The following is a 27,379-nucleotide window of genomic DNA, read 5'->3' on the forward strand; positions in this document are numbered from 1 at the left end:
AACGTCATATATAAGCTCTGGAATTTTCACAAATGCCCACAACAGAGTCACAATGATCAATGGAAAAATACTCCCTCATTAATGCCACATACCAGCATTATCAACCACCTAAAAGATGAATGATTTAGACCCCAATTAAACACCATGAAAAGCATATGTTACAGAGAATCAAGCAGAACTCTACAGAGAATGTGGTAAGTGTGGACTTCAACACAGGCCCCCTAAGGGGGTAGGTGTTAACCAAATGAAATGGTGATAAGGGTAACCGGAGTCCAGTCTGACTTAGGAACCTTAAATGCTCCCTCCTCACTCTTAGTGAAAGCCACAAAGTGCCTATAAAAGGGCCTGGCTGTCTCCAGAAATCTCTCCAGGCAAGTCTCATATTTCCCCCTCCAGAATCTCACTCCAGGTGGTTGACTTGATATAGGCTCTCTGCTTCCAGCTTAGTTGTCATCCCCTGCCCTGTCTCTTTGGATGAAGTCCTGGATTCAGTAGGCCTATTTTATTCTAAACTAATTGATTATAGTTTCCCCTGGCTCAACTCCAGTCCCTTGTTTGTTGAGGGGAGAAGTTTATAAAACCTTTAAAAGAGATTTCAGGAAGAAAGAATATGAAAAACACAGCCTTGCCTCAACCTCAGTAATTGTTTTCAGGGTAGCCAGAACAGTCAAGTCAGCAGGTAGGGATTCAAATACTGGTTCTACCACCTCCTATTTGATTGATCTATGAAAAATGCATGACTTTCTCACACTAGGTTTCCTAATCTTCAAAACAGGTGATGGCGTTCAGGACACACCACCCCAAATATGGCACTTTGGTATTTGAGAAAACAGCAGAAGCAGGAGGGTCACTCTCCTCTTCTCCCACCTTTCTCCCATGAAACAGGCCATGAAAGAATTATGTGACTTTCCTTTAAAGTAAGACACAAGGGCCAGGCACAGTGGCTCATGCGTGTAATCCCAGCACTTTGGGAGGCCAAGGCGGACAGATCATTTGGGGTCAGGAGTTCTCGACCAGCCTAGCCAACGTGGTGAAACCCCGCCTCTACTAAAAACACAAAAATCAGCAGGGCGTGGTGGCGTGCATCTGTAACCCCAGCTACTTAGGAGACTGAGGCAGGAGAATAGCTTGAACCTGGGAGGCAGAGGTTGCAGTGAGCCAAGATAGTGCCACTGCACTCCAGCCTGGGTGACAGAGCGAGACTCCATTTCCAAAAAAAAAAAAAAAAAGAAAAAAAAGTAGGACACAAGGACCTCACTCCAAAGGTATCCTCGCTATACCCAGAGGAAAGGAATGCTCTTATCGCTGAAGATATGGAGACACAGAGAAGAATCTGAACAAATGAGCCTTGCTAAGTTCCCCCAGTTTATTACAATTATATCATAGTCTTTGTCCTCCAATCATACTGCATGGCTGTCCATAAAAATACAGTTTTCCCAGTTTCTTTGGGTCTTCATTTCTGAAAGCAGCCATGTCACATAAAACTTATACAGGCATGCCTCGGAGATAGTGTGGGTTTGGTTCCAGATCCCTGCAACAAAGCAAGTGTCACTATAGAGAGTCACAAGATTTTTTGGTTTCCCAGTGCATATAAAAGTTATGTTTACACTATACTGTAATCTATTAAGTATGCTATAACATTATGTCTAAAAAAATGTACAACATACCTTCATTTGAAAATACTTTATTGCTAAAAAATACTAATGATCATATAAGCCTTCAGCAAGTCATCGTCTTTCTGCTGTGGAGGGTCTTGTCTTGATGTTGATGGCTGCTAACTGATCAGGGTAGTGGTTGCTGAAGGCTGAGGTGGTTGTGGCAATTTCTTAAAATAAGACTACAGTGAAGTTTGCCTCATCATTCAACTCTTCTTTCAGGAAAGATTTCTCTGTAGCATGTGATACTGTTGATAGCATTTTATCTGCAGTAGAACTTCTTTTAAAATTGGAGTTAATCCTCTCAAGACCTGTTGCTGCTCTATCAACTAAGTTTATGGAATATTCTAAATCCTTTGTTGCCCTTTCAACAATTTTCACAGCATCTTCACAAGAAATAGACTCCATTCCATCTCAGAAACCACTTTCTTTGCTCATCCATAAGAAGCAACTCGTAGTTCATTCAAATTTTATCATGAGATTGCAGCAATTCAGTCATACCTTCAGGCTCCACTTCTAATTCTACTTCTCTTGCTATTTCTACATCTTCAGTTCCTTCCTCCACCAAAGTCTTGAACCCCTCTAAGTCATCCATGAGGGTTAGAATCAACTTCTTCCAAACTCTTATTAATGTTGATATTTTGACCTCCTTTCATGAATCACAAATGTTCTCATGGCATCTAGAATGGTGAATTATTTCCTGAAGGTTTTCAGTTTACTTTGCCCAGATCATCACATGATTCACTATCCATGGTAGCTATAACCTTATGAAATGTGTTTCTGAAATCACAAGACTTGAAGGTTGGAAATCACTACATGATTGATAGGCTGCAGAATGGATGTTGTGTTAGCAGGCATGAACACATTTATCTCCTAGTACATCTCCATCCAAGCTCTTGGGTGACCAGGTGCATTGTCAATGAGCAGTAATCTTTTGAAAGGAATCTTTGTTTCTGAGCAGTAGGTCTCAACAGGGGGCTTAAAATATTCAGTAAACCACACCATAAACTGATGTGCTGTTATCCAGGATTTATTGTTCCATTTCTAAGAGCACAGGCAGAGTAGATTTAGCATAATTCTTAAGGGCCTTAGGATCTTTGGAATGGTAAATGAGCATTGGCTTCAACTTAAGGTCACCAGCTACATTAGCCCCTAACAAGAGAGTCAGCCTGTCCTTTGAAACTCTGAAGCCAGGTATTGATTTTTCTCTATGAAAGTCCTAGATGACATCTTCTAATAGAAGGCTGTTTCATCTACGTTGAAAATCTGTTGTTTAGTGTAGCCACCTTCATCGATTATCTTAGCTAGATCTCCTGGATAACTTGCTGCAGCTTCTACATCATCATTTGCTGCTTCATCTTGCATTTTTATATTATGGATATGGCTTCTTTCCTTAAGCCTCATTAACCAATCTCTGCTAACTTCCAACTTTCCTTCTGTAGCTTCTTCACCTCTCTCAGCCTTCATAGAATGGAAAAGAATCAGGGCTTTGCTTTGGATTAGGCTTTGGCTCAAGGGAAGGTTGTGGCTGGTTTGATCTTCTATCCAAACCACTCAATTTTTCTGCATATCAACAATAAGCCTGCTTTGGCTGTTTTGCTTTCTTACCATTCTTGTGTTCACTGGAATAGCACTTTTAATTTCTTTGAAGAACTTTTCCTTTAAATTCACAACTTGGCTAACTGTTTGACTCAAAAGACCTAGCTTTTGGCCTATTTTGGCTTTTGACATGCCTTCGTCACTAAGCTTAACCATTTCTAACTTTTGACTTAACTTGACTTATCTTGAATGCTTAGAAGCCGCTGTAGGGTTATTAATTGGCCTAATTTCAATATTGTTGTGTGTCAGGAAATAAGGAGACCCAAGGAGACAGAGAGATGGGAGAATAGCTAGTTAGTGGAGCAGTCAGAACACACACAATATTTCTTGAATAACTTCACTGTCTTATATGGGTGCTGTTCATGGACACCAAAATAATTATGATAGTAACATCAAAGACTACTGATCACAGATCACTATAATAGATATAATCATGATGAAAATGTTTGAAATACTGTGAGAATTACCAAAATGTGATATAGAGACATGAAGTGAACACATGCTATTGGAAAAAAAAAATAGGGTTGACACAAACTAATTTTTTTAAAACGCAGTATCTGTGAAGTGCAATATAATAAAGTATGCCTGTATTAAATAAGTCTGTACGTTTGCTTTTTTTTCTTGTTAATCTGTCTTTTGCTATAGGGGTCTCCACCATGAACCTAGCAATGGGTAAGGAAAGAAATCTTTTCTCCACTACACAGGCAAACTTTCTTCTCCGTGTTAGTATGCACACAGGCTCTTTTCTCTCATCTCTAGAGCTAGACTAATTTAACTTGAACTTAAAAATGTTGACTCTGTGTGCTACATAACGTATAGTCTCAAAAAGCTGACAATATTCATAAAATATGTTTATAAGTCCCAAAGAAAATGTTTTGGCAAGGTGCAGTGGTTCATGCCTGTAATCCCAGGACTTTAGGAGGCCAAGGTGAGAGGGTCATTTGAGATCAGGAGTTCAAGACAGCCTGGGTGACATAGCAAGACTCCAAGAAGAAAGAAAGAAAGAAAGAAAGAAAGAAAGAAAGAAAGAAAGAAAGAAAGAAAGAAAGAAAGAAAGAAAGAAAGAAAGAAAGAAAGAAAGAAAGAGAAAGAAAAAGAAAAAGAAAGAAAGAAAGGAAGGAAGGAAGGGAGAGAGGAAGGAAGGAAGGAGAAAGAGAGAAAGAAAGAAACAAAAAGAAAGAAAGAAAGAATTTCCATTACACCTGGAAACACCTGGGCATTGCAGTCAGGTCTGAATTAGTCAGCACAGCTAATTTCTAAGATGATCTTTGTTAAGCTACTTTTCCTCATCTATAAAACAAGTATATAATTAATATTCACAAACTTGCCGTAAGGATCAAAACCGATAACGTACATGGAGTGCTTGGCACAGCTTGGTATATTTTGGGGGCTTAAGGACTAATCACTATTATTATTAATATTAAGACTAGGGCACGGCACCATGGCTCACACTTGTAATCCCAGTGCTTTTGGGAGGCTGAGGCGGGCGGATCACCTGAGGTCGGGGTTCAAGACCAGCCTCACCAACATGGAGAAACCCCATCTCTACTAAAAATACAAAATTAGCCAGGCGTGGTGGCGCATGCCTGTAATCCCAGCTACTCGGGAGGCTGAGGCAGGAGAATCTCTTGAACCCGGGAGGCGGGGTTGTGGTGAGCCAAGATCACGCCATTGCGCTCCACCCTGGGCAACAAGAGCGAAACTCTGTCTCAAAACAAAACAAACAAACATATATATATATATGTATGTATATACTAGATATGGCCTAATATATTTTCTAATGAGACTAGTGCTGGGATAGAAGAGACCTGGGATACTTTCCTTGAAAGCTAGATCTGAGTCTTCCTTTCCCTGAGAATACAGTACATGGTAGGTGCTCAATTTTTATAGAGTAAGTCAATGAATGAATGAACAACATAATAGAAAGAATACTACAAAGGAATTCAAGAGTCCTAGCTACTTGACTTACTTCAACCACTAATTAAATAACTGAGGACCTGTGGATTTTAGATGCCCACTGTGGTCCCTTTTGTCTTTCACACTGCTTGATTCTGATGTGAAATGAAAAGGTCCAAAATAAACATGAGAAAAGAAAATAAAACTCTTATTCTGTCCCTGAAAATTGTTCCTGTGGACAGAATTTTGCCCCCTCGATATCCATATATTGAAGCCCCAACCTCCAATGTGGCTAATTGGGAAATTGGGCCCTGATGGAAATTATTAAGGTTAAATTCATAAGGATATGTCTCTGATGCAATAAAATTAGTTACTTAAACAATTGCAAAAATATGGAACCAGCCCAAATGCCCATCAATGGAGTGGATAAAGAAAATGTGAGATATATCTATATCTATATCTATATCTATATCTATATCTATATCTATACACACACACAATGGAATATTACTCAGTCATAAAAAGAAACAAAATAATGGCATTTGCAGCAACATGTATGGAATTGGAGACTATCATTCTAAGTGAAGTAACTCAGGAATAGGAAACCAAACATCATATACTCTTACACATAAGTGGGAGCTAAGCTATGAGGATGCAAAGGCATAGGAATGATACAATGGAGTTTGGGGACTTAGGGGAAAAGGTGGGAGGGCTGAGGGATAAAAGACTGCACACTGGGTACAGTGTACTCCGTTAGGTACACATTGGGTACAGTGTACACAACCTCTTTAAAAAAAAAAAAAGAAGGAGAAGAAGAGACACTAGCACCTATAGCCTCAGCTACGCAGGAGCATGAGGCAGGAAGGATCCCTTGAGCCCAGGAGTTCAAGGCTGCAGTGAGCTATGATCATGTCACTTCATTCCCGCTTGGGAGACAAAGCAAGACCCCATCTCTAAGAAAAAAAAAAAAAGAGAGAGAGAGAGAGACCAAAGAGCTTACTCTCTCTCCACCATGCGAGGACACAATAAAGAGGTGGCCAACTGCAAGCCAGGAAACGAGCCCCTAGCCAGACGCCAAATCTGCTGGTACCTTGATCTTGGATTTCCCAGACTCCACAACTGTGAGAAAATAAATTTCTGTTGTTTAAGCTGCCCAGTCTGTGATGTTTTGTTATGGTGGCCCAAGCTAAGACACCTGTTATATACCATATCCATTAGAAATATCCAACTCTATATTTGGAGTTCTCTAAGAATATCATTTTTAATCTCCACATTGCACCGCATTCGAAACCCCTGTAAGTTTTATATCCAGCTGTTCCTTAAATGAAATTACTGCATCACAGCAACAGATAGGAAATTCTAATAAACTACTCATTGAGTTGAATTTACAAACACTTAGGTACTACACTTCAGAACATTAATCATCATTTTTGTAAAGCTGACATTCTTTACTCTTTTGTTTACTTGACATTTATCGAACAAATTCATGTTTGTTAAAGAAGTTTAAAGAAGTATTCGATGCAAAGTCTCTAAGATACTAAAGTAAATTTAATCATCAATTTATCCTAACAAACTGAATTCTGTCATAGCTAAAAGAATGGGAAATTCCCGGCCGGTAGCGGTGGTTCACGCCTGTATTCCCAGCACTTTGGGAGGCCGAGGCGGGTGGATCACGAGGTCAGGAGATCGAGACCATCCTGGCTAACATGATGAAACCCCGTCTCTACTAAAAATACAACAACAACAACAACAACAAAAATAGCCGGGTGTGGTGGCGGGCGCCTGTAGTCCCAGCTACTCGGGAGGCTGAGGCAGGAGAATGATGTGAACCCAGGAGGCGGAGCTTGCAGTGAGCCGAGATCACACCACTGCAGTCCAGCCTGGGCAAAAGAGCGAGACTCCGTCTCAGAAAAAAAAAAAAGAATGGGAAATTCCTTTCATTTACCTAAGGAAAAATGAGGCTTTTGACAAATTCTAAGACCAACTAGAGTAGGGCATGGTTTCCTGGTGAAGATGAAATTTCTGAATAAACAGGTTCCACCTGGGAGATATTTACAGCTTCCAAACCTATGCTGCTCCATATGGTAGCTACCAGCCAAATGTGACTATGGAGCACTAGAAATATTGCTAGGAAAAATTGAGATGTTCTGTAAGTGATATATCTCATTAATAATCTTTATATTTATTGTATGTTAAAATAATAACATTTTGGATATATTGGGATAAATACAACATATTATTAAAATTAATTTTACCCTTTTTTAAACTTTTTAATGTGGCTACTAGAAAATTTAAAATTATATATGTGGATGGCATTACATTTCTATTGAATAGTACTGTTCTAATTAATTCCTTGTCATATCTGAAAGTCTGTAGTTAGTTGAAGTATAAGGCAAGGACTAAATACAACCAACAAATATATTTTATTTGGCCCACACAATTAAAACAATTTGTAATTGATTGGCAGCATTTAAACATTGACAGATTTCACATCAAAATGCAGGCTCTCACCTTCCTTTGAAAAGTCAGATCAAGAAACACTGGACCTGCATTTCTGAATGGCAACAGAAGGAGCAATGGCTGAAACTGATTAGTAGCTCTCCTCTTTGAGCAAGACATGAGCTTTGCAGTTCACCCTGGCCTATTTCCCCTTTTCTGTCAGGTTCTTGTGGAATTTTGATGTTTGGCTATAGAGAGAGGGGCTTTAAACATGAGTGGAGTGAAGGGGAAGTGCATTTTTCAGCCATGTACGGATCTCTGATTGAATTCCAGTTCAAGCATGTAAATGGCCCTGTGACTTTGGGGTACAGGGTACTCAATTGATTTCCTCATCAGTAAAATGGGAATGATAATAGCTACATTGTAGAAACTACTAACAATTAAATAAGGTAAAATATATTTGGGAGTTGCCTCACAGTAGTTGTTTAATGAATTATTATTTCTCTCCTTTGGCTGACTCAATATTTTTGGGGGAACTGGGGGTGTTGATGCAGTCAGATATAGCAAGATGCTAAGTGGTTTTTACAATGCCCAGTATTAACAAAAGTGTAGATGCTATTTCCCTAGAGTGCAAGGCAAAGATCTTGGGAGAAAGGAAATCTTTCAACATTTTTCTTAGGAGCCACACATAATTAAAACGCTCTTATTAACTGAAGATGATTTTTTATTTCTCAATTAGAAATGAAGACTTTGGATGTTTGACATCTATGCAGGTTTATCAAGTCACACCGAACCCCAATAAGGGCAGGTTTGGGGTGCCATGGTTCAGCTTTGTTTCACATCCCCAGTAGCACACATAATTGCACAAGCCAAACTTTTCATACCTATAGATACTATGATTTACTGTGACCAAAAGACAAGGAGAAAAAAACGGAATGAAAAGGATGCAAAAGATTAGAGAGCCAGGCATCTGATAAGGGTTTAATATCTAAAATATATAAGAAACTCAAACAACTCAATAGTAAGAGAACAGATAATCCAATTTTAAAATGGGCCGAGGATCTGAACAGACATTTCTGTAAAAAAGACATGCAATGGACAAGAGGTATATTAAAAAATGCTCCACATCATTAATCATCAGAGAAATGCAAAATAAAACCACAATGAGATATCACCACACACCTGTTACAGCAGCAATTATCAAAAAGGCAAAAGACAAGGGTTGGAGAGGATGTGGAAAAGAAGGAATCCTTGCACATTGCTGGTGGAAATAGAAACTAGTACAGCCATTATGAAAAACAATATGGAGGTTGCTCCAAAAATTTAAAAAAGAACTAGCATGATTTAGAAATCCCACTACTGGGTATACATCCAAAGAATATGAAATCAGTATGTCAAAGAGATAACTGCACTCTCATGTTCATTGCGGCATTATTCACAATAGCTAAGAGGTAAAATCGACCTACATACATACATACTATGTATGTATATATACATACTGGATGCTTCTTTGGCCTTGTATGTATATGTATATGTCATATATGTATACGTATATGCATACGTATACGTATATGTATATACATATACATATAGGTAGAATCAACCTAAGCGTCCAGTATGTATATACACATATATACACATATGTGTGTATACCCATATATGTACACATGTGTATATACCCATATATGTATACATATGTGGGTACCCATATATATGTACATATGTGGGTACCCATATATATGTACATATATACATATATGGGTACCCATATATACCCATATACCCATATACCCATATGTACCCATATATATGTATACATATATGGGTATATACACATATATATAGAGAGAGAGGGAGAGGAAGAGGAAGAGAGAGAGTGAGAGAGAAGCATATTGGAATGGAATACAATAGTATATACACACACAATGGAATACTATCCACCCTTTAAAAAGAAGAAACTCCTGTCATTTGGAATAAGTGGATGAACCTGGGGGACATTATGGTAAGTGAAATAAACTAGGCATGGAAAGATGAACACTGCATGATCTCATTTATAAGTGGAGTATAAAAAAGTTGAATTCATAAAAATAGAGAGTAAAATGGTGGTTAGAGGGGCTCAGGGCATGAAGGACTGGGGAGATGTGGGCAAAGGATACAAAGGATACAAAATTTCAATTAGATGGGAGAAATAAAGAGATCTATTGTGCAACATGGTGACTATAGTTAATAACAATGTATTATATTCTTGAGAATTGCTAAAATAATAGACTTTTGTAATGTTCTCATTACAAAAAGGATAAATGTGAAGTAATGCACATTAATTAGTTCAACTTAGACATTTCACATATAGTATACATATTTCAAAACAACATGTATACAATAAATATACACAATTTTTGTCAATTTAAAAATAAATTTAAAAAATTAAAGAAACGCTAATGAACTATGGACTATAGTTAATTTTTTTAAATGAGAGAGCAAAAATTGATGAAAAAATTTCCTATTTTACAGAAGCTGGGGCACAAACCAGAATGATTTGTTCTGTAGACTTGCCCCTCTTGGCATAAAATTTGTATCTCATTTGAGTACCATCCTGTTCAATAATAGCCGCTGACTGGACTCAAATACCTGCCCTTCACAGTTCTTACATCATGATTCATATACTCTCCCAGCTCTTTTTGACTGCCCGCAATTACTTGTGACAAATGATTCTTCAGTGTATTGTCTGCTTTACCTTTTCCAAACGTTTCCATGGTTCACAAATAAGTCATCTGGTGTATACTGTACTGTCTCTCCAACAGTAAAGCCAGGCATCGAGGGGCTCCTCCCAAAATTCTATTGTATTCTGCAAGTTGGCTACTCAAAGTAAGAATCCTTGTAGAACACACAAATAAATTTCGTTTGAATACTTTAGTTAACTATAACAAAAACAAACAGATAAAAACTAGAAGAAAATATAAGTTATTAGTTATCTGTCTCAGATTGGGAAGGACTATCCAAAGTAATGGTAAAAATTCCAAATAATAGATCAAAATATTTGATGACACAAACATGTTGTAATTTAATTTTTTATGGCTTAAAAAGGAATCTGGAAAAAATAAATGAATAAACTGGAAAAATATGTTACAAATATGAGAAAGAATAATTATCTTTCATATGTGATGAATGCATAGATATTGATAATGGAAAAAACTAAAGATCTATTAGAAAAATAAATAGGCCGGGCACGGTGGCTCACGCCTGTAATCCCAGCACTTTGGGAGGCCAAGGTGGGCAGATCACGAGGTCAGGAGTTCGAGACCAGCCTGTCCAATATGGTGAAACCCTGTCTCTACTAAAAAATACAATAATTGGCTGGGCATGGTGGCGTGCACTTGTAGTCCCAGCTGCTCAGGAGGCTGAGACAGAAGAATCACTTGAACCCGGGAGGCGGAGGTTGCAGTGAGCTGAGATTGCGTCACTACACTCCAGCCTGGGTGACACAGTGAGACTCCATCTCAAAAAAAAAAAAAAAAAAAAACAAACAAAAAAAGAAAAATGAATAAAGAAAATGAAAAATTAATAGAATCAAAGGTAAGAAATAGCTAATAAAGTACTAGAAGTACTCTCAACCTTGCCAGTAACCAAATAATTTTGAATTAAGAAATCTTTTTTTTTTTAACCCATCAGATAGATCAAGTTTTGTCTAAATGTTAATACTCACTTTGGGACAGGATATGGTAAAATGAGCAAACTCATTCACTGATACATTAGTACCTTTCTAGAAAGCAAAGCCTTTAAAAATTTCCAACATCTTTCAACTTTCCTGTAAAACTGAAATTTTTCAAAATAAAAAATTGAAATATAAAAAGAGGAAAGAATCCTCATAGCAAAACCAATACATATTTTCTTTTCTTTTTTTTTTTTTGAGACGGAGTCTTACTCTGTCACCAGGCTGGAGTGCAGTGGCATGATCTCAGCTCACTGTAACCTCCACCTCCCGAGTTCAAGCGATTCTCCTGCCTCAGCCTCCCAAGTAGTTGGGAATACATACAGGTGTGCCACCACACCCAGCTAATTTTTGTATTTTTAGTAGAGATGGGGTTTCACTATGTTGGCCAGGATGATCTCGATCTCTTGACCTCGTGCTCTGCCTGCTTTGGCCTCTTAAAATGCTGGGATTACAGGCATCAGCCACCACGCCCGGCCCATATTTTCTTAAGAAAATACTTCAAACATATTGTATGGGAGAAAAGATATCTTACACCTCGCTGGTTATGGCTGAGTCACCCGTAACAAATGACAGATTAACAACAGAACAGCATACATATATAAGTTTTACATGATGCAGAAGCCTTCAAAAATGAAGACCCAAAGAAACAAGGAAACCTGTGCCATTTTGTGCTAAGTTTGATGAAGAAGTGTATAGCTGTGGAGAAGTATGATTGCACAAAGCGGGTATGACCTAATGGTGATAAACTAGGGGGAACTTAGAAAGGCCTATCTATTCAGATTCTTCTCTGTGTCCTTGTGTCTTCAGAGATAAAGATGCCCCTCTCCTCCAGGTATAGGGAGAGTACTTCTCCAATGAGAGTTTTACAACCTGCTTCAGAGGAGAAGGACGGCATAAGGTCAGAGTGACCTTCCTGTTTCTGATGTTTCCTTAAATGCCAGGATGCCTTATTTGGGGGCAGCATGCTTTGAATCCCATCTTATATGTCATATATATGTAATTTTAAAAATTATAAATCTAACCATTCTTTTAAAGGGATCTAATTTTTTCTCTAAAGTGGTAATTCTTAAAGTGTGGTCTTTGGACCGTTTGCAAAAGCATCACCTGGAAATATGTTAGAAATGCAAATTCTCGCACTCACCCAGCTTTACTGATCCAGAAATTCTGGGGGTGTGGCCCAGCAATACGTGTTTTCACAAGCCTTCCAGGTGATTCTGATGCACACTGAGGTCTGAGAACCACTGCTGTAAAGTTACAAAAAATACAATGGATAGGATAATGTATTAAATAATTCTATGAGAACACAACCAAACAAAACTAGAGTGTGGGAAATTCTATGCAATCAATTCTCCATTTTTTTCAACAAATAAATGACTTGAGAGAGAAAAAAAGAAAAGGAAAGTACTAAAGGTTAAAGGAAGCTTAAGAGTTATAACAACGAAATAAATGTGTGGGTCTTATTTAATCCTGTTTCAACTTTTTTAAAAAGATGTTTTGAGACAATTAGGAAAAATTAGACATGATTTTAAAGAATTATTATTTGTTTTACTGTGTGTGAACATTATAATATGATTATGACTTTTAAACAGTCCTTTTAAAGTCCTTACCACTTCGAGATTTTAAGACTAGTTTTCTTAAACTGATTTTTTAAATTTTAAAACTAGTATTAAAAATAAATGAAGTAAATATAGCAAAATATTAAAAACTATAAAACTTAGGTTATTAAAAATTGGAAGTTGAGTTCTTTCTACTTTTCTGTTCTTTTAAAATTTTCATAGTAAAAAATAGAAGCAAACAAAAACTTCAGATTGTTTAGCCAATAATTTCAATTTTAGAAATTTACCTTAAGAAAATATTCAGTCTCAGAAAATATTTTATTTTATTTTTATTTTATTTTATTTTATTTTATATATTTTAAAGCCTGTAGCACCTGAAATTCCCAGATGTTCTCCCATTCAAGTACTAACCAGGCTTAACTCTGCCTCATCTCCAAGATCAGATGAGATCAAGAGAAAAGATTTACTTATAAAGACCTTTATGGGCCTGACGTGGTGGCTCATGCCTGTAATCCCAGCACTTTGGGAGGCTGAGGAGGGCAGATCACTTGAGGTCAGGTGTTCAAGACCAGCCTGGCCAACATGGTGAAACCCCGTCTCTACTAAAAATACAAAAATTAGCTGGGCGGGATGCGCTCCTGTAATCCCAGCTACTCGGGAGGCTGAAGCAGGAAAATCGCTTGAACCCAGGAGGTGGAGGTTGCAGTGAGCCGAGATTGCGCCACCGCACTCCAGCCTGGGCAATAGAGTGAGATTCAGTCTCAAAAAAAGAAAGAAAGAAAGAAAGAAAGAAAGAAAGAAAGAAAGAAAGAAAGAAAGAAAGAAAGAAAGACCTTTATGACAGCATTATTTATACTAGCTAATAATTGTTAGAATGAACCCAAACATCCAAAAACAGTAGAAAGGTATAATAAATTATGAGACTTTCATGTAATATAAATATAATACAGTATATTCAGTAACATACTAAAGATGTTATTATTTTTTTAAAAAGTGAGATACAACAAAACACATACAGTATGATTCTTGTTTTGTTAAAGTAAAAAACACATCCAAGAAAAAAAGAGGAGATGGATTTTCAGGGGCCAATTTAAAAAAAAAAATTTTTTTTTTAAAGACTAGAAGGAACTATATCAAAATGTTAAGTGGAGTTTTCTCTAAACATTGGAGTTATAGATCATGTATATCTTCTTCTCTGAAACTTTCCACATTTTCCAAATGAACTATAAAGTGTATGCACTCTTCAGTAATATAAAAACATTTTTAATAAAAGCAAAAGAGCTGGGTGCAGTGACTCATTTCTGTAATCCCAGCACTTTGGAAGACTGAGGTGGGAGGATTGCTTGAGCCTAGGAGCTCAAGACCAGCCTGAGCCAACATAGTGATACCCCTCATCTCTACAAAAATCTTTAAAAAATCAGGGCCGGGCGTGGTAGCTCACACCTTTAATCCCAGCACTTTGGGAGGCCGAAGCGGGTGGATCATGAGGTCAGGAGTTCCAAGACTAGCCTTACCAACATGGTGAAACCCTGTCTCTACTAAAAATACCAAAAAAAAAAAAAAAAAAAAAAAAAAAAAAGAAAAAGAAAAAAATTAACCCGTTTCTTTATAAAGAAGAACTTTTTAACATTAGATCTGTTCAAAGTTGCATTTGCCTCAGGAGGCAAAGATGCTTCCTTCTCTGGAAATATTCAAACACAATGAACTACCAGAGGGTAAGGATGCTCCAAAGGGAGTACAAGTGTCAGACGGTGAGTGAGGTAGATGACCTGTTATAGTCTCTTACATCATTTAATATTCAACAAATATTATTGAGTAATGAACAAGACCAAAATCCCTGCTCTTCTGAATTCATAATCTTGTCAGCACCTGAATAGCTACTACAAACCTACTAGATTGCCAAATAGTCGATGCTAATTAAAAAACAAGGAACCCCCCTTCTTTAGAAGTGAGCAATTTATAAAGTCATTCATGTGTTCCTCTACTTCTTAGGAGACTTTCTTATTCATATTTAATCTCCATTATCTGGTATAAAGATCTTTACTAATTGTTGACAAAAACATTCTCTTGAATACACTCCATATTCTCTGGTATTTCTTCAGCCCCTAACCTGGCATTTAGTAGTTAATTATGTTGTTAATGGAAAAGTGAGTAAGGCATAACCACAAACAACAATCACAAACTGAAAACGTATTTACAATTAATTTGGTTCTTTTTTTTTACATTAAACATGATCCTGAGGCAATGGCATTGATTTCAAGTTGAATATTGCCTGTATTGAAATTGCCGAAAGGAATATCAACCTTTATTTGCTCATATATTCCTTTTTTTAAGGTTAATCATGTGTTCTTAATAGGAGTCTCCATAGGTTAAACTGGAGATCTTTTAAGTAATAGTATCTACAAACAATAGCATAGAGTTAACCAATTGAATATTAATATTCAAAGAGTAAACAGACCACATACCCATGGGGAAAAAAAATTAATGTTCACCATGGATGTATTTGCTAGAATGAGGGGACTTTTTAAAGAAAGTTTATCCTTTCTCACGTAACAGTCCAGTGAAGGGATTCAGGTCAGGGGTAGCTCTGCTCTACATGGTCATTCAACTACTCAGCTGATAACAGCTTTGCCATCTTCAACACACAGCTTCCAAGGTTACCCTGGGCATCACTATTCCAGTCAGTCAGAAAGAGGAAAGGGTATGAGGATCATAACTAGAAGGTTTTAAGGGCCAGACTTGAAAGTGTTACAGAGCACCTCCACTCACATTCCACATCACAAAACCACGTCTAACTTCAAAAGAAGCCAGAAAACATAGTCAAGCTCTGATCCAGGAAGAGAAGACTGTATTTTATAGACTATAGGTTATCTCTGACATAATAGAATTGTAAATGAAACCTTAATTCTCTAAAATATTCTTCTCCCTAGAATATTTGCCAGTGGTTAGCCTCCAGTTAAATGTGCATGCTAGAGAAGACCCTTACAGAACATGGCCTCACAGTTCACAATTTATGAAGGGATTGTGTTGCGCAAGTTCACTTGTGAGTTTTCTAAAATATATTTTCTGATAGAAGAATAATAATAGACCAACTCACTTCATAAGATAAATTATTTATACTAAGTAATTTATCTTATGTAGACAAACACTATGAAACCTGCTGAGTTTTGGACACAGTATAGAAGAATGAAATTTCCTCCCCTACTCATGGGGAAACAAAAAGGTTGACCTTAAAAAGCAAGTATTTTAATTCAACACCTTATTACTTTGTTACTCTGCTTTCCTGAGGTGCCTATCCCCTTCATACTATGCCAAACGTCTCACGCAAGCTTATCCTAGTTTCCATTTCCCAATCATTACTCTCATCAATGTTGCCATCCTTTTTGTTAGTTTTTTTTTTAAGGCTAGTCAAGTGAAGCAGTCGGAGTGGAGAAGAAAATGCTGCCATTCTTATCTGAATGCTAAAGTAGAGGATTTGTATTTTTAAAAGTACTTTCACAGATAAGCTTATAATAGTTAACATTTATTGAATATTTATCCTATACCAAAACTATGTTCTCCAAACTTCATTTTGCTCATTTACAAAATGGAGATAATAATGTTAACACTGATCTCATGAAGTTATTGTAAGGATGAAATGAGATAATGCCTGTAAAGTGCCTTGCACCTTGCCTGACATTAATAAATTTACAAAATAAATGTTAGCTATTATTTTCCTAATTAGTTTATTATTACTCAGTGAGAGGGTGAAAGTGTGAAGAGCTCATTATCATTCAGCTGTGCTCCCTTCTCCCCCAGCAATCTCCTATCCTTCCAACTTACAAAGGAAATGACAGTCACACTTTTTTCAATGTTGACATTGGTTCTCGATGCTAATGTACCTGAAGTGCTTGCTAAAAATGTAAATTCCCAGGCCTCACAGTCAGAATTCCCCATTCAGTCAGAGGTAAGCACTGCTGCCACATTGAACAACACCAGGGGGCATCATTCACATGGTATTGCATATAAATGGTGCTTCCTGAAGTTTTGCAAATTTGTAGTTCTGAAGTTGAAGGCCAGGAAATTATATTTTTAACAAACACACTGGTGATATAGACAATTCTCCTCGGGTTGAGACTTTGAGAAAGACTGTTCTAGAGTGACTGTTTAAAGTTCAGGGACCTCAGAAAGAACTTGTTCCACTGGCTAGTTCAGTGTCTAAAAGTAGCTGTAACCAAATATCAACAAAATAACGTTTTAAAAGCCTGATCACAGCTTTGTTATTCAGTACTCTTATCAGTAGCCTAATTCACTGGAACTAGACTTTTATCTGTAATCTCCTTCCAAAGGCTTCACATGGCTCTCCAGACATTATCTCATTAATCCTCAGGACAGATCTACCAGACAGGTGGCAGACAATGGACTTTTCATCACAGGTAGCTTGAGGCATGAGTAGGGTTCCTGGTCCCAGAAGACCGCATCAGTACCTGGATGGGTCTTTTGCAATCTCCCCAGTCTTCATCTATGAAACACTGAGCTTCTACTTTTTGCTGGGGAAATCTTCACCAGTTCCTACATAAGAAAGATTGTTAAGAAGGTAAATTTCATACATCTGTTGATTCCATTAATTCACACATATTTAATAGCTACTACTCAACAGACCTAATACTTTCTGGACATAGATGGATGTTGAATCATAAATGCACAAGTAAGCAACTATATACTGAGCAAATCTCTGTGGGACCCTAATGGATAAAGAAAACACATTAATTGAGCATTAATTAATGAAGAAACCCACTACTGTCACAAGAAGAGGGTCTTGGCTTGTTTTACAAGACCCCAAGAAGTATATATTTGAGACCAATTGTCAGAAGCTTCAGAGAGACAGATTTTGGTTGGAAATAAAGAAGATCTTAAGAACAGAGTGATCCAAGTGTTGCCTCTGGAGGAAGAGAATTTTCCTTCTTAGGAGATGTGTAAACATAGGCTAATTGCCACTTTAAAGAGACATTATAGATATTATTCCCTTATGCCAAGAATGTTCTCTTGTTCTTTGCTAAACATCCCATTTCTGCTTTGACCTCACATTTCAACCTAAATATCACTTCCTCAGAGACATCCTTTCAGATGCTCCACACTAAGAACCCCCCATTACATATTGCCTTAGCTCCTGTATACTCTTTCATAGTGCTTATAACTTTAATTAAATAACTAACTATGAAATTAATAATGGAATGTAAGTTTTTAAGGGGCAGAGACCATGTGAGTTTTTTTTTTTATCCCACCTGGTGCCTACCAGCGTCTGGAATGTGTTAGATGCTCAATAAATATTTGTTGAGTGAGTGAATGAATGTTGATGGATGATTGGACCAGATGTGGATTCTCAGAACAAATCCAGCTGAAGATATAAACTTCACCTGCTAAACTGACTTGAAAATTTTAGAGCTAACGCGTGTTCTTGGGGCCTTTCACCCACCTGTTAAAGCATCCACTTCGTTGCAAACTCATTTTTACTTTACCTATTCCTTTGTTACCAAGCAGCTCAGTGTCAAAACTTCAACCATGCTGGTCCATCCTTATGCTGGAAACTGCACAGCAAGGACTAGCATTCATTTCCAACACCCTTGGCTTCTCTGCACCAATTCATTTCACGTTCATCCATGGGCTTTGGCCTGCCTATCTCCCTTGTCCATCTGTTTGGACAGCAATGTGTCTGCTTGTGAGTGGTTAGATCCTTGGCAAGGGATAGAGACTCCAAACAATGCAAGAGGTTTACATGGGCAAGCTCCACTGCATAGTCAGAGACATCTGTCTTATGGGGAGGGTCTTCTATCAGAAAGCCCGGGTGACACATGCCCCCTCTATACTTGCTTATACCTATAGACATGTAGATGCCCAAACCAGAAGGAAATCAAAACTCAAAAGGAAAATAAAAAATAAACACAAAACATTCATTTGACAAACATGACTGACAGCCTATTCTGGGCTGGGCAGTGTGGGTAGATGCTAGGGGTATATGACTTACCAACCAAGAAAAAGCAATGTGTTAAGTGTGGCATAGAGGAAGTCATGAGAGCATAGAGAAGAGATGAGGATGCTTGATATACCTAAATAGTCACTGGAAAAACTTAATACATATAAACAGGAAACTGAGTTTTCTGCATGTTGTATTCTATTAGGGAGAAAAATGAACCATGACAGAGAGAAAACAGCTGAACCCAGAACCCAAGATGTAGCCATGCCAATCAGTGGTAAGCAGGCAAATCGGCAGGACTTAGTGAGAGCTATGCCAAGGAGATGCAGCCTCTTTCATTTAAGATAAAAATAAACATTTTCATTCTAGTTATTTGGGATAAAAGAAATGTGGCAATGTGGGTATGAGGAGAGGTGAAGTGCTCTGAGTAGGCATGTCTGCTTCCAAGAATACCGTCAATACCTACACACATTCCCAAATGAGTGCACACACACAACCCCTACATGGCAAAGCAGCACTGTCTGCCATGGGCAGTGTTCGTAGAATTCTAAGATAGGAATGAGCCAATTAGTATGGCATGTATAATTTTGGCCAAAAAAAAATTGTTATTTCAATGGGGTTTTTGAATGAGCCAGGGGCCTTCAGAATGTGAAATCCTGTGTATAAAATCACACAGCCCTTTTAGAATGACCAAGACCTCAGGGCCCTATGAACTCCACAACAAATTAAACCATAAGGTGGTAAATGAAAATGGGAATGAAGAAAGTGTAAAGTAAAAATCATAAAGGAGCAAGAAAAGGGAGAACATTACGATGAAGACTAGAAAAACAGAAGCTGAGATAAAGAGAAAATAATGCCCTGACTTTCATATGCTTTTATTCATCAAAGGGAGACAAGCAACAATTACAATAAATAAGTAAATTAACAAACAAATTGTATAATTTTCAGAAGGTGGTCAAATTGGACTATGGGGAGGCAATCTTAGGCAGATGGCCAGGGAGTCCCTATCTGTGGAGGCGACGTTTGAGCTGAGATCTAAATGTTGAGAGAGTCATGCAAGTACGTAGGGAAAGAGCAGAACAGGCAGAAAGAAGCTAAAGTGCAAAGGCCCTGAGGCAGGAAAATACTTGGTCTGTTCAGAGAACAGCAAGGCCAAGGTAGCTGGAGCACAGTGAACAAGGAGGATGTGGCAAAAGGCAAAGCTGAAGCGAGGTAGGCAGGAGCCAGGTCACAGAGGGCTGGGCGGGCCATAGAGAGAAGCTTGGATTTTATTGCCAGTAAAATGGAAAGCCATTGGAGGATTTTAAGTAAGGGAGTAACGTGATAGGATGTGCATTTTTGAGAGATTATGCTGTCTGTGAAGTGAAAAATAAACTGTAGGAAGGCAAGAGTGGAATCAAAGAGACCTATTAGAAACGTATTGCAATAGTCCAGGCAAAGTCTGGTGGATGGTGGTGAGAGATGGTCAGATTGGAATATATTATGTTTGAAGAAATATATTTTGTATTCTTAACCACCATGCCACATTTTTTACTTATTACATATTATTTTATACTCTCTATCATGCTTTTTGGCCTGATCTCCTTAGATTGTGATAATCATAACTTATTTATAAAATTCTATGTATTATGATTAATTCATTTAGTTAGCATTTATGTGTACCCCAAGTGCTACAGTAGTTCTTAGGTAGACAAAAATTACAAAGCATTTTTTCACAAAATGCATCATTTAATACAACAATCTTATAAGATAGCTAATGAGGATAATATTAATGCTTTTTGTTTTTTTTTTTTTTAGACAGAGTCTTGCTCTGACACCCAGGCTGGAGTGCAGTGGCACAATCTCGGCTTACGGCAACCTCCGCCTCCTGGGTTCAAGCAATTCTTCTGCCTCAGCCTCCCCAGTAGCTGGGACTATAGGCGTGCGCCACCACACCCAGCTATTTTTTGTGTTTTTAGTTGAGATGAGGTTTCACCATGTTAGCCAGGCTGGTCTTGAACTCCTGACTTCAGGCAATCCGCCCGCCTCGGCCTCCCAAAGTGCTGGGATTACAGGCGTGAGCCACCAGGCCCAGCCTATTAATGTTTTTTTACAGATAAGCAAAGTGAGGCTCAGAGAGGTTAAACAATTTGCCCAAAGCTGTAAGGGTAGTCAGAGGACAAAGCTAGAGCAGAGCCAAGGTTCCCTGACCCCTAAATCAATGTCTTTCTACCATACTACCATGTATCCTATGTCTTCCCTGCTTTGAGTCCACAGCATTGTACCATAGATAAGAAGTGCTTATGCAAAGTAGATGATCAATAACTGTGAAGATGGGGATGACGATGCTATCTTTCTGCCTTCGATGTGTTGATTTGTCTATTTGTGTAGCTAATGTATTTCTCACCATGCCAAAATTTACCTTAGATTTATCCTATGTAGATTTTACCAAGAAATTAAAAGTTAGAAAAGACTAGGGCTCAATTTTTTGCATTTGGACAGATTAGTCAAGATTTAATTAAAAGCTATCTTACTGAGTACCTACCATGTGCCATAAATATTTACTGGAAGAATGAATAATCTTATGTAGAATTATATAAAATAATAATCTTGTATAGAATAATCCTGATAATAATCCTATTTAGAATTATATAAAAGTAAGCTGCTGGCCAGGCACGGTGGCTCACACCTGTAATCCCAGCACTTTGGGAGGCTGAGGCGGGCGGATCACTAGGTCAGGAGATCAAGACCATCCTGGCCAACATGGTGAAACCCTGTCTCTACTAGAATACAAAAAATTAGCCAGGCGTGGTGGTGCACACCTGTAGTCCCAGCTACTCTGGAGGCTGAGGCAGGGGAATTGCCTGAACCTGGGAGGCAGAGGTTGCAATGAGCCAAGATCACGCCATTGCACTCCAGCCTGGGGACAGAGCAAGACTCTGTCTCAAAAAAAAAAAAAAAAAAAGTAAGTTGCTATTATCACAATCCAGTTGGAGAAAAAACATCTTATTTTATAAGACCATAAAATAATATGTAATAAGTGCAGCCCTCTGGCATAGTGGTTAAGAGCACAATATGCATTCACCTTTTTAAGGTTCTGGGGATAGAAGTGAAGAAGACAAAATGATTCCTGCTGTCATGAAGCTTCTACTCTGGCCTTCTCTCATAACTGCTACTCTTACCTTAAAAGCCCTGGACACTTCCTAAGGCTCTACATAATTAATAATAACTGCTATCACTTAGAGTATGCTTACTAAGATTAGTGTGTTTGATCCTCTCAACAACCCTATGAAGAAGGTAGCATTACTGTCAACCCTATTTTCCAGCTAAGAAAACTAAGGCACAGAGAAGATCACACAGCTAATAACTAGTAGAACTGGCTTTGTACCCAGGCAGTCTGTCTACAAAGCTCATATGCTTAGCCAACATGTGGGAGGATATCAAGGTCTTGTGGGACATGAAGCTTATATAATTCTAGGAGCTCTCTTTGAGAAAAAAGAATACAACACTACAAACACAAAACTAGGTACAGGGCCTTGGAAGGGGCCCATGAAAGAGTTACATTTTATAAGATTCACAGTAAATCTGCCTTTAGCTTCATGGTAAACCCATCTGTGCCTCTATGCAATACCCTAAGCATGAGCTCTGTTGTTATAATAAAGACTGCCCTAACCCAAATACCTAGAAGGTGGTTGAGTGAAGACAGCATGAAAATAAGCATTATCATTTTCCAAATGTGCAACTGTAGATAGGACTTTCTGGTGCTCCACGCCAAGTCAGTGAGCATTCATAAAGCACCAGCTATATGCTGAGCATTATGCTAATATGCTAACCTGCAGAAAATACAAAAGCCTATAATCCCAGCACCTTGGCAGGCCGAGGCCGGTGGATCACCTGACGTCAGGAGCTCGAGACCAGCCCGACTAATATGGTGAAACCTCATCTCCACTAAAAATAGAAGAAAAAAAAAAAAATTAGCCAAGCGTGCTGGCGTGCACCTGTAGTTCCGGCTACTCAGGAGGCTGAGACAGGAGAATCGCTTGAACCCAGGAGGCAGAGGTTGCAGTGAGCCAAGATCGCACCACTGCACTCCAGCCTGGGTGACAGAGCGAGACTCCATTTCAAAAAAAAAAAAAAATGTATACATATCTGTAGATATACTCTCAATGAGCTAGTTTATGTGTCCAGCACTATATAAATGCAAAATGAGACTGATACAACAGTAGCTGCCCTTGAGAAATTGAAATAACAAATAAGCACTTAATGTTTATTATGTAAATGGTATTCCTATAAACGGATTATAATTTGTGAGTTAGATACTAACATTACTGTCATCCTTATTTTACAGAGGGAGAAACAGATCAAGGAGTGGCAAAGCTTGGATCTGAATTCAGATGCGCTCATTCTCAAGCCGTATTCTTAACCACTCTACTACTCTTCTCCAATTGTTTTGGAAATATGAAACAATTGGAGATCTGAAGCTTCAAAACTCCTACCAACCACCATCTCCTTCGTGAAGCCTTCCCTGCCCACCCCAGATAGGTCAGGTTTCTCTCCACATAGCTTTCCACATTCTCCTCTCTCATAGCTGTATTAATAAGTCCCTGTTGCCTCCTTTCTTAGACCATAGGCTTCTTGAAGGCTATGTCCCAAGAACCTGGTAGGTAATCAACAAATATTTGAGAAATCAATGAATAAATGAGCAACACATGTTAGGGTATGGTCAAGTGGTCTGTTGGTGCTATGGTAAATAATTTACCTGCTGTAGGTTTTAAGTGAGACTTGAGCATGAAAGTAAGATTAGAAAAGTGGAAGGGAAAGGAAAATATTTCAGGGGATGGAAACAGCCTGAGCACAAGAGCAGCACTGGGAACGATCATGTCATGAAAAATGCATTTGTTTCCCACTGCTTCTGTAATGAACTACCACCAAATGAGTGGTTTAAAACAACACACATATATTCTCTGATAGTTCTGGAAGTTAGAAGCCTAAAATCAAAGTATCAGCAGGGCTGTGTTCATTCTGCAGGCTTCAGTGGATAATCTGTTTCCTCACCTCTTTCAGCTTCTGAGGCCACTCACATCCCCAGACTTGTGGCCCCTTCCTCCCATCACTCCAACTCCTTGCTTCCATAGTCTCATCTTCTGCGACTGCCTCTGACTCTCCAGCCTCCCTCTTAAAAGGACCCTTGTTATTATTACTATTGGGCCCACTCAGACAACCTAGGATAAACTTACCATCTCAGGATCCTTAACCACATCCTCAAAGTTCCTTTTCCTATGTTAGGTGATGTATTCACAGGTTCCCTAGGTTCTGGGGATTAAGATGTAGACATCTTTGGAAGGCCAATATTCAGCCAACCACGAAAGGGAACAGTAAAAGCACAGTGCAGGCTCTGCAAAGGTTCTGTCTCTGTAAGGCCACAGGGTAAATGGATAGAACGTGGGCCAGGCTTCTTTCCAGGCTCAGGCGTCTGGACCTTTTCTGATAGACAACAGAGAGCCACCATAGAGTGTTAAGAAGGATCAAGTCACTAAGAAAATGATGTTTTTAAAAGATTTATTTGGCAACTGTGTTTACTTGCTTCAATTGAAACCATCTTTTTTCAACATGGTAATAATAACTGGTTGTATATAGGGTTTTATTTTTATAAAAGTTTCACATATAAACCTATCTAGGAGGTATTATTATCTCTATTTTAAAGATGAGGAAACTGAGCTCAGAGCAGTTGAGTGACTTTTTACAGAAGATTTTATATACATACCCTACACGTGACAGAACAGAGCTAGATACTTTGAGGAGGCAGTGCTGTGCCTGCGGTAAGTTTCTGCTTACCCCCGTAAGTACAAAAGGCTTTGGAAGCTGACCAGAGTCCAAATATTAATTCTGCCCTTTACTCACTATGTGACTTTGACCAAGTTATATCACTTCTCTAAATTTCATTTCCCTTATCTATAAAATGTGACTAATAATAGTGCCTGCCTCACAGGTTTTATGAGGATTAAATAAGATAATGCTAGTAAAGAAAGTACTTGGCATAGAGCAATCGATAAACAGTAGCTACTATTATTATAAATACCACCTCCTTTCTATAACATTTCTCTCAGATGAGACCATCTAAGATTACACTTTAGATCAGCTTACATTTCAACACAGGAAGATTCAAAACTGAATTTAAAAGAAGCTACTGAAGATAGGTTTCACAGTACCTTCTAATACATGAGCTTTCTAGTTCCTCTCAATTAAAAAAAAGTAAATGTCTTCATAATATGTATTAGACAATGCCCTAAAAGTATGTTAATAATTTAAATTCCAACCCTCTGCTGTTTTCAATGTAATATTCTGTAAACCATAGTTATTCTTCAATCAAGGTCTGATTTTGTTTGGATGGGTTACATTGTGAAAGACCAAATAAGGTACATGGAGTTTTGCGGTCAACCTGCATGAATTGGTTTGTAAACTTCACTGGACAAGCAAGCACTTGCCAAGTGGTCTGAATTAACCTTTACTTTGTGCCCATCTCTAGGAGGAATGAATGAACACCAGTAGTCTGCTGGCCTGCCTGGTCTGCCTGGTGTCTGGCATCCAGAGACTTTTCCTGGCTGACCTTTTGGAGAATGTCCAACATTGAGAAAATGGAATCCAAAAGAAGACACAGAACCGGGCTCCATGTTTTCAGAGACTGCACCACATTGGTCATTGGAGTTAAATGTGTTCATATCCATCGGCTCTGTGCTCTGTCACGCAAAATATTAAAATGAAATGCTAGGAGAACAGTTTGAAGCAATCCTTCCTGTTCTTGAAACTCACCTTTAGCTGCTGAGAACGCTGGTAATCCCTTTGTAGCTTACTGGGGGCACATTTATCAGTGAGGCAGCTAAGCCAATTGTAGCTGCATTCACAGGTGACCGTGCTGTCTGCCTGCCTTCCCAGAGATACAAGAAACAAAACCAAACTGATAGAGAGGATCTGGCATTGCAAATTCACCCAAGAGAGGAGCCCAGGCCAGACTTCTGTTTTTATGGACAGGAACATTCGGTCCTCAGCAGACTTGCCTCTGAATTCACAGGCTCCTCTTACAATGCAAGCCACAATTCTGAAAAATAAAAGGGGATCTCAAGCAGAAAAAGAGATTACAAATAAGGATCATTCAACAACAATAACCAAAACATAAACCCTGGCAACCACTGTGCTAAGCAGCCCTGGCGGATGCCAGTCTTGCCTTCTCAGTTCCTGCTCTGATCGGTAGCACAACAAATTATCTAGTTTCCTAAATCCAGTGGGCTCTGACCGCAGACACAGGAGAGCAAGCCGCATTTAAATGTGAAAAGCTGTTACTGATAGAGCCCTCCTGGCATTTACAAAAAGTACTTTTTACATATAAAAAGCATGTTTGGCAAATTCCGCTGTTTTTGCTGCTAAGTTATACAACGTTGTAACAGACAACAAAAAGCAACAAATTAACACCCATCTTCCCATTAACAAATGACCCCACCCATCCCTTCATAGGTTTTAGATTTCCTTTAGAAATCAGAGAATTTGAAATGAAAAAAAAATCCCATTACTGTTCTGTTGCTCCTAAAACACCTCTTTTTTTAAAAAGCAATAACTAAAAGCATTTTTTAAAAGTCAAAATCACAATAAACTGTTAGGCTCAGATCACGTCTATAGTAATGTAAGTTATTTCCCTTCTCTTAAGACGTTTACCTTTTTCCCCCCATTTAGCCTGTTTTTTTTACAGTTCAATACATATTTTTCCAAGCTCCACTTGCCAAACAAAAGAGTTTAGCCTCAGTGTTACTCCTCTGACAAATATCCTTATGGTCTTGCACATGTGAGAGCCATTGATAAACAAATTAAAATTCTGTCCCAGCTCAGAGCTCAGCTGGCCCATTTTATCTTGCAGTATGGGTTTGTAAAGGTCTGGGTGTCTGTCATCCTCCCCTAACCTTGTCTTTGTCAAAGGGATACAAAAGCCTGCCCGCTCGGGGCCCTTACGATACTGATTAGTGTGAGTGACAAAGTGGTGCTGCAAGTCCACTCAGCCTTTCATAATAAATCTATCAAAGAGTAATAGAATTCCATCAATCCTGCATCATCCCCGAGGGTCGCTGGGCTGGGATGGAAAGTGTGTTCCGTTGGGATTGTACAACTGTTATTATTCAATTACACTCTTTTCTTCCTAGTTAAAGACCATGATATCATTATCACTTAATGAATACATATAATTGGATCTGGACTCTATGTTTGGCTGATGAATACCACTCACTATTCATTCAGTCTCAGCTCATCTTCTGACCATTTATTATAGACTTTTGGCTGAAAACCATGATGACAAAGGGAATTTGAAATTAGCTGCGATTTTATTCAATGCTCAGTTAGACACAAAGACAAAATAAAATTTTGATGGCTAAATGAGTTGAGAATGAATTAATAAGTTTTGCCTAACTCAACAGTCTGTGATTTACTCATACTTAATACACACACAACATCCACAATCTCTGTCACACACATATATACACACAGAGTTAGCAACAAAACTGTTTAAAATGTTCAATAACTTCTAAAAATGAGTTTTATTTTTGAAAAT

At 38.3% G+C, this 27,379-nt stretch overlaps 2 long non-coding RNA genes and 1 pseudogene across 2 annotated transcripts in view, besides 4 other annotated features; 1 reads left to right on the top strand and 2 right to left on the bottom strand.

The window, feature by feature from the left end:
• LINC00466 (long intergenic non-protein coding RNA 466) overlaps window positions 1-27,379 on the bottom strand; it is a 158,175-nt gene that overhangs the window by 14,034 nt on the left and 116,762 nt on the right. The window contains exons 5-6 of the long non-coding RNA NR_038252.3: window positions 25,600-25,904; window positions 17,324-17,408 (exon numbers count right to left, since the gene is read on the bottom strand). This is a non-coding gene — a long non-coding RNA (long intergenic non-protein coding RNA 466). The remainder of the gene's footprint in view (window positions 1-17,323; window positions 17,409-25,599; window positions 25,905-27,379) is intronic.
• On the top strand, window positions 90-25,593 carry LOC105378770 (uncharacterized). The gene is made up of 3 exons (XR_947454.3): window positions 90-194; window positions 23,138-23,331; window positions 25,316-25,593. It is a non-coding gene; the product is annotated as an uncharacterized LOC105378770 (long non-coding RNA).
• On the bottom strand, window positions 13,220-13,334 carry RNA5SP49 (RNA, 5S ribosomal pseudogene 49; annotated as a pseudogene).
• Window positions 24,930-25,685: an enhancer, noted in NCBI's record as "NANOG-H3K4me1 hESC enhancer chr1:63663717-63664472 (GRCh37/hg19 assembly coordinates)". NCBI's record gives its function as "activates a minimal SCP1, AML or CMV promoter by ChIP-STARR-seq in naive and primed H9 embryonic stem cells {active_cell/tissue: H9 hESC(naive and primed)}" and the evidence as "EXISTENCE:reporter gene assay evidence [ECO:0000049][PMID:30033119]".
• Window positions 25,686-26,440: an enhancer, noted in NCBI's record as "NANOG-H3K4me1 hESC enhancer chr1:63664473-63665227 (GRCh37/hg19 assembly coordinates)". NCBI's record gives its function as "activates a minimal SCP1, AML or CMV promoter by ChIP-STARR-seq in naive and primed H9 embryonic stem cells {active_cell/tissue: H9 hESC(naive and primed)}" and the evidence as "EXISTENCE:reporter gene assay evidence [ECO:0000049][PMID:30033119]".
• Window positions 26,432-27,335: an enhancer, noted in NCBI's record as "VISTA enhancer hs764". NCBI's record gives its function as "enhancer in: neural tube[5/8] | hindbrain (rhombencephalon)[5/8]" and the evidence as "EXISTENCE:transgenic organism evidence [ECO:0001131][PMID:17130149]".
• Window positions 26,514-27,015: an enhancer, noted in NCBI's record as "NANOG hESC enhancer chr1:63665301-63665802 (GRCh37/hg19 assembly coordinates)". NCBI's record gives its function as "activates a minimal SCP1, AML or CMV promoter by ChIP-STARR-seq in naive H9 embryonic stem cells {active_cell/tissue: H9 hESC(naive)}" and the evidence as "EXISTENCE:reporter gene assay evidence [ECO:0000049][PMID:30033119]".

Source organism: Homo sapiens, chromosome 1, assembly GCF_000001405.40.
Source record: "Homo sapiens chromosome 1, GRCh38.p14 Primary Assembly".
Classification (NCBI taxonomy): Eukaryota; Metazoa; Chordata; class Mammalia; order Primates; family Hominidae; genus Homo; species Homo sapiens.